Source organism: Homo sapiens, chromosome 7 (assembly GCF_000001405.40).
Source record: "Homo sapiens chromosome 7, GRCh38.p14 Primary Assembly".
Lineage (NCBI taxonomy): Eukaryota > Metazoa > Chordata > Mammalia > Primates > Hominidae > Homo > Homo sapiens.
In genome coordinates, this window is record NC_000007.14 from 25,888,081 (window position 1) to 25,895,998 (window position 7,918).

General features: G+C 43.6%; 2 annotated features.

The window, feature by feature from the left end:
• Positions 4,907–4,986: an enhancer, noted in NCBI's record as "active region_25771". NCBI's record gives its function as "activates an Ori minimal core promoter by ATAC-STARR-seq in GM12878 lymphoblastoid cells {active_cell/tissue: GM12878}" and the evidence as "EXISTENCE:reporter gene assay evidence [ECO:0000049][PMID:35858748]".
• Positions 7,180–7,269: an enhancer, noted in NCBI's record as "active region_25772". NCBI's record gives its function as "activates an Ori minimal core promoter by ATAC-STARR-seq in GM12878 lymphoblastoid cells {active_cell/tissue: GM12878}" and the evidence as "EXISTENCE:reporter gene assay evidence [ECO:0000049][PMID:35858748]".

The following is a 7,918-nucleotide window of genomic DNA, read 5'->3' on the forward strand; positions in this document are numbered from 1 at the left end:
CAACTCCAGGGCTCAAGTGATTCTCCTGCCTTGGCCTCCCAAAGTGCTGGGATTTTAGGCATGAGCCACCATGCCTGGCCAATTCATTTTTTTTTAATTGTAGTAAAAAACAAATGGCATAAAATGTACTATCTTAAGCATTTTTAAGTGTACAGTTGACTAGTGCTAAGTATATTCCCACTGTTATGCATTCAATCTCTAAAACTTTTTCATCTTTCAGAACTGAATGGCATGGTAGGTTCTAAGTGTTTTGGAAGCATTATCTCATTTAAATCTCATAGTACTAGAGGTAGGGATAATTATTGTTCCCATTTTGAGACAAGAAGTTAAGCAAGGTCATGCAGCTAATGATTGGTAGAGATGGATTTGAAACTCATACATCTTCATTAAACTCTACCTAGCAGTTATACGCTAAGTAAAATTTCCACAAACTTGCAGATTTATAGAATTACAGGGTTTTATTTCACCTTCTGCCCAATTTTTATTTTAAAAGTAGTCTTTAAATTTTTTACTGAAAAATAACATGAAAAAAATCCATGCCTCTTTATGAAGTTCATGATAAGAAAAATGAGACAGATTTACTATCAGACAGCTGCTGTCGATGACTCATAAAATTTTAGCAAAGAAAGACACCAGAGAAGATTGAACCCAACCCAGTTATTTTACAGGTGTGGAAACTACGGTTCAGAGTCAGGGTGGAAGTTAAGGAACCATCAACTTCAGAACACACAACTCTTTCCACTTCCCGATGCAAGCTGGAAGATATTTTGATTTGAATGCTTATGATATTTTTCTTTCTAGTTAATATGTATGCTAATAGCATTTTAAAGTAAATGTGCTTTTGGCTGGGCACGGAGGCTCACACCTTAATCCCAGCACTTTGTGAGGCCAAGGCAGGAGTATCGCTTGAGCTCAGGAGTTTGAGACCAGCCTGGGCAACATGGTGAAACCAAAAAAAAAGTAAAAATTAGCCAAGCATCGCAATATGTGTTTATAGTCCCATCTCCTAGAGAGGCTGAGATAGGAGGATCTCCTGAGCCCAGGGGGTGAAAGTTACAAGTGAGCTGAGATCATGCCACTATATGCCAGCCTGGGTGACACCACAAGATCCTGTCTCAAAAACTAAAATAAAAATAATATATTAAATTGCTTTAGTCTATTTGTATTCAGGGTCTCTGCTTCCATTCCCAGGCAGGGGCCCTCCAACCCATTTCTCCAGCACGATACCCACCTGTTTTCCTGTCTCCGTCCCCTATATCAGCGGTCCCTATGCCTTACCCTCCAGCCCCTTCTTATAACAGATATTCTGTAAAGCGTCTTTTTTTCTTCCCAGAAATGAAATTCGGAGATAATCTACCTAAGCACATAATTTCAACAATGACAACACCATCAATACAATGCCCTATCTGTAACAGAAAGGAAAAACAAAAGTAATTTGTGATAAAAATATATACATGTATCAACAAGTAAATGTTCCAACTGACTACCAGAAGGCACACAGCCATGGTCAGCACTTGCCCCCTGTGTGGAACCCCATGGGTGCTGCAGGAGCCCCACAGTGTGGCCCCACAGAGCATCCTGTTCAGGTGATTCAGATAGCATGGATGACATTCATCCCATACAGAAGAAAAACTCTTAATGAAACCCTGAACACAATGAAATACAATCTTCTCTTGATTTGCATGGTGGAAAATTCAGAGCCAAAAACTAAACATTTACATACTTATATGAATATAAAACGAAACATATAAACACACACATACACGTGCCTTTGTGTTTAATTATAAAACAGACTCGGGAACGAGGCTTAGATAATTATAACCAGCTTCCTCACTTATCAGTGACTGTCTGGTGGGACATCTGACAGACGTGCAGGAGGCAGGACAGCCTTTGGCTGTCAGAGGACAGTGTGGAGAGGAGCATGGTGGCATTCCTCCAGGCATTACTCTTAGGCATTCTGGGATCTCCAGCAACACTGGCCTCTGCCCACGGAATATCTTCATTGCCCACTCAATTTTATGATGACAAAAACGTCAGTCCAAATTTCCAAAACACCATAGGGTTGATACCCACACCCCTCTGAGAAGCTCTGCCCGTGCCCCAAGCTCCTTCGGTGCATGGACCTCCTTGTATCTACAGTCCTGACGCAGTCCTCTGGCTGCAGGTGGTGAGCCCTCGACCCATGCTGATGAGTGGGGGAAGGAAGGAACAAACAAGCAACAGGAAGACGTTGTACAAAGAATTAAACGACACCAAACTTACTCATAAAACCCTCCAGAGACCAGGATTTTAGTCCCAGCACCCAGTACTAGGTTGGCATGGGAATGAAGTCAAACTCATTCAGTCTCTCATTGTTTCCATGTTTGTATAAAAATGAATATTTTTATATTTATGTATAAAGAGGAATGAATTAATTTACTTCCTAAAAATACATAAACACATACACACATATATATTCAAACAATGCTAAAACCTGAAAACAGCACATAGTATTAACTAATTACAGCTATATACAATTTCTGTCAATACACTGAAAAATTTTGATGTGAATTTAGAGATGCAGAGAAGTTGTTGTTTTTGAGATTTTTAAACCTTTAAAACTGAATACAGGATAATTTTTCTTTACTGCAGAGAATAAACATGGAAACCACTATTTGTCTTTCCCGTGCTACAGAACAGCGAACCAGAATCTGAAAGACATTTTTCATCCATAAAGTCAATAATCAATACCACCTAAAAACAGGAGTTGAGTTTGTGCTAAGGGTGTTAAGTAGGTTGCCTTGTTTAGTCCTCAGGACTCTGCAAACAAAGCATCTCATCCCTATTCTGCAGATGAGCAAATGCAGGCGCAGAGAAGTTGGTGATGAAACTGAAACCCTAATCCAGGTCTTTCTGACTCAGAGGCCAGTTCTGTCAACCACTACTTTGTCCTCCCACTTGGCTAGAATGAGGACACTAATGCCCCTAATTCAACTGTACGTTACAAAACAAGTTTTCAGTCCCAGAATCACAGTATTATGGGAAATATTTGGGTTCCTTTACCATTTTTTAGTTCTGTCATCACCAAAGCAAGAAGATGTTGGCAGAGCTGTCCCCAGCCATTCTCCTTGTCCTTCATTTGATGGCTATTTTCTAGCACCTTCCATGCACATGAACCATGGTGACAAGGTTCACATGGGCTGTCAGCAGGACACAGTCCTGCCTTTGTGGAGCTAGAAGAAGGAGCAGACATTAATCGTATAATCATATAAAAATATACATAACCAGATGCTATAAGATGGTTTGGAGTTGCCATGAGATTATATGCAGGGGCCTGGCTTGATCTCGAGCTTTTATGATGTGAATCATTTTCCCTTTAATAAAAGTCAAGTATCATTTACAAGGCACTTGCAATGTGCCAGCCCCTCTGCCAATCACATCCTATACACCTTCTCCAATCCTGGAAAGTAGTTTCATCATGCCCAGTTCACTGGGGAAAACACTGAGGCTTCAAGAGGTCAGGAAACCCGCCCAAAGTTGGCAGTGGGCAAGCCAGCCTTTCAGGGAGGTCTTGCCAAGTGCCGAAGCTCCAGTCTCTTCTCTGCTCTGCACTCCTGCCTGCAAGGGTCTTCATAAACGTTGGTGACTATTGTCACAAAGCGAGAAGAATTTGAGACATGCACTGTCCTTCCACTGAGAATCTGTGGTCAACCTCAGCTGGCTCCCCTCCAACCCATGTTCTCTGGGCTACTGGGCTGCACGTATCCCTCTCTGGCCTAAACCCTGCAGAGCACTCCAGGCTCTTGTTATAAAACTGTTTGGCTCAGTAGAGCATGTTGGGGACCCTCTCTAGGTTGACCTCTCCTCCCCTCCATATCCCTGCTCCAAAGAAGTGCTCTGCTGGCCCTTCCTGTGTCTGTGATGCCCTGCATCTCTTGCCCACCTGGCTGACTCCTATCTTCCAAGGTCATGTCCTCCAGGGAGGCCTCCCCTGATTCCTTCAATCTCACAGGCTCCTTCCTGCATGCTCTCTTTCCAGCGCAGCCTGCATCCCCTGGACTGCAAATGGCGGGTGTTGCCAACATGTCCCCCTCCTGGGCCTGGAGCTCCTGAGGGTCAGGGATTCCACCCAGGCCAGGCCTAAGCCCAGTCCCTGGTGCTCAGAGCCACCCATTAAATACCTACAAATTGAATTAAATTGACTTTCATCTTCACAGAAGGTGGTGAAAGAAGACCCTTCTTTTTTCATAGCACTTTACCATGTTGGCTGCAGCATTTAGAGTTAAGCCAGATTCATTAACAAATACTAACAATCTAAAACTCTCAGTGATTGCCTTACACCATTTTCACTTGCCAAATATGTATAATTTGACTAGTTTCCCCTTCCTCAAAATATGAACATCCTTATGGAATAAATTTCAACACTTTTTTAACATAAAAAATACTGTCTTTTAGAATATTTTAATTTTATTCATAATCTTTATTCTATTTCATAGACTAGCTCACATGTCTTTTATTTAACTGAATGGGTATCAAGAAAAAATAAAGAATGGTTCAGTTATTACATGTGATAATTAATTTCTGAAATTAAAAAATGTCCTCTGTCCAATTGATTTGCAAAGAATAGCTTAATGGACAAAAGAAACTGCATAATATGCCTTCTGGAAAAAAAGCCAATAATTTTTTGGAGCTAAAAGGCTTCTTTTCAAGATAATGATTCGTTTCAATTTTTAAATCTTATACCAGGGTTAATATAAAATTATTTTTACATTGTGCTGGTAACCCATTTGAAAAAAGGCCTGAAAGAAAGTAGTCCCAGCTTCCTGCGTCCCCCACTTCCCCTCCAAATCAGCCAGGGCCCCAAAGTCCCGGACTCAAATAAATCAAGATTATGCTAATAACTAGAGCTAGGTGCAATGGCAGACTTTGACAATTCCAGGCAAAAGACACCAGAGGGCACTACAGGACCACGTTTTGTAATTTCAGGCGCCATTTTACCCTTGGATTTGAACAATAATTTCTTAAAAAACTGTTAACCTTCTGAGATCCGTATGTGGATTTATTTATTGCTTTCAATATCTTATCGCCACTAAGCTTAACTAGCTAGGCTTGGAAGGTTATTTTAAAGGACAATGCCCTAAAAAGGCAGACACAATTGGGCTTCCTCTTTATTTTACCTTCCTATAGAATGTCGGCATGTGTATGAGCGTGTATGAGCGTGTGTGTGTGTGTGTGTGTGTGTGTGTGTGTGTGTGTGTGTGTTTAGCAAACATTTATGATTGAAGAAACCATTCAGGGAATCCAAAAACTAAAATGCAGGATTCCACTGCCTCCCCTCCACCCACCCCGCAAAAAAAAAAAAAAAAAAGTGACGTTTCAGGCCAAAAAATTGTTTTCGTTGTTATTACTTCTGTAACTGTCTTCAATCACCTATTAATTTAACCAGCAAATATTTATTGAAGCCCCTAATGTGCCAGTCCCTGGGCACACCATGATACCTGAGCCACATCTCACCCTGCAGGGTCTCACCCATGATGAGAAGGCAGTTCTCTTTACTCCTGTCAGCCAGATTTAGTCTTAGAGCATCAATATCCATAAGTGAAAAGTGACACTTCAGCTTAGATTATTTCTCTTTTCACTGCCCTTCAGAAAAATTTTTTTTTTTTTCAGAAGAAAATAGGATTTTAAAATCACTGCTTTCTAGATGTGACCATCTCAGCCTGAGCAAGAAGGATCAAAACTCTCTTGCTGGAACTGCCTTCTCAGTGACTGAATTTTTATGAATCAAATAAAATGGTTGCTTGTGGGTTTGGGGAATGCTTTTTTTCCTTCCAAAGTCCCATATTGATTAGAATGAACTACATCGAAATTTAACAAGTGACAGAAGAAAGTGCCACCACTCTTGGCGTCTAATGAAGCTGTTGGGCAGTGCTGCCATCCAGAGTGGGGGAAATGGGACACAGGAAGTCTGTTTCCTCCTCCCCCAACAATACTCCCAGCCCCATTGGTTTGTACAAACAAACATGTGAGACCACGTGGTAACATAGACAAGTTACATTCCTTACCTCAGGTAATACCCACAAGATAGCCCCATTTACCAGCTGAGCAAACTGAGGCTAAAGGTTACTTCTTTGCCCAAGGTCACACTGCCAATATCCAAACCCAAGTCTGTCCACCTCCAAAGATCATGTGCCTTCTGCTACCCAGTGTAAATAACCCAAAAGAACTCAAAGACTGTTTTCTTTGAAGATAGGTGAGGCAGACACTGCTGTGTGCTTGCCCCGAGCCATCCTATCTGCTTCCTGTGCACACAGCTGGACTACATTTCCCAGCTCCCCTTGGGGGAAGGTTGGCCCTGAGAGTGGCGTCTAGCTAGTGGAATGTGAGTGGCAGTGAGGCCTGCCCACCTCCTGCACAGTCCTTCATTCTCTCTCTCTACCTGTCACAGCCAGATGCAGAGTACTCAGCAGCAAACATTAAGGCCCTTAGGGATGGTGGGGCCACAGAATGAAAGGTGCCTGGGTCCCTGAATCACTGCATGGAAGCTGTCCAAGAAACGCTTTCAGTGGTCCAAGAGCAAGAAATAACTTGTTTTGTGTTAAGCCACTGTGACACGGGGTTGCTTGTTAAACAGTTAGCCTTTGATACATAATACACAAGGAAAGAAAATGGCTTCTGTGAAGGTGTCCATTTGCCCACCAGGGGACTTGCCTAGTTCTGTGGTGGTGAATTTGTTCACAATTTCCCTGGGCGTCAGGAAAAGAAGACATTGAGCTAAGTGATCTCTAAGGTCTTTCCCCGACCTGAGAAAAGCCTGTGGTTCTGTGGTTCCCCTCTCTCACCCGCCGGATCCCGTCTCCCACCACTCATATCTGCAGGGGCCAGCTAAGTTACCTGGACCAGGAGGGACTTAGCCCAAACTCCTACCCACCCAGGAGTCTTCCTTCCCACATAACACCTTCCCTGTACTCTGCTGGGCAGCTATACACAGATATGCCCCCTCGGCAGTGGCAGCAATATGTAAGATGCCCCGGCAGGAGGACGGGGGGCTTCACATGGCCTTGTGCCACCTGTCCCAACTTTCCCTGCCCCCTGTGTAGCCTGTGTGGGAAGATGAGCACCTTCCTCCAAGAAAAAGGCTGGGTATAGACCAAGACCTGGAAAACTGCTGGGTATCCGAAGAGTGAATATGAGGAATTCTGCTCTTTGAAAGCACTGCTTCTTCGACTGATGTCACTAACATCCATGAAATATCATCCTTAAGCTATTTTAAGTCTACCTCCAGTGACTCATGGGATCTCCTTTTCTGTCACTGAACGTGATGTGCTCAAAATGAAGATAATGTTAATATAGGGAAAAGCAGAACTGAGAGTTTTAATGACACAGACTCCTGGCCAGATCAGGAAAGGAGGGTGTAGTTCGCGGCATTTGTGATTCCGGCTGGGTCTCCGGTGCGGAAATGAAACTCGCCCCCTGCTGGCCCGCCCCGGCGCTTTCAGAGGGAAGGGGAGCCAGGACGCCCGCGGGGATGGCTGCCCAGCTGCGAGTCACACACGAGCGTCGCCCACGCCCGGCGCCCCCGCACTGCCCATGATAGGGACCTACTGAATTGGATACTAGTGGTGTTTCTGGAAAAATCAGGGAGGATTGAGACCTGGGTTTTCGAGTGACAAATTGGTGATGCAGATGAAAAATGCAGGACCCAGTTGCATATGGTGGCAGTCTTTGGCTGCCTGGAGAGAAAGAGAGAGAGAGACCGCGCGCTCACTATCAATATGATTAACTATTATAGTGCGCAGTGTTTGGGGCTATCCATTCCTTTTCCTCCTTCTTCTATCACAGATTCCTCCCTCTCTGATTTCAGAAGGAGGAGTTAGGGAGGGTCGGGTAAGTGCCTGACCTAGGCCACTCAGCATCCCCCTTCCTCCACCAGAGTCCT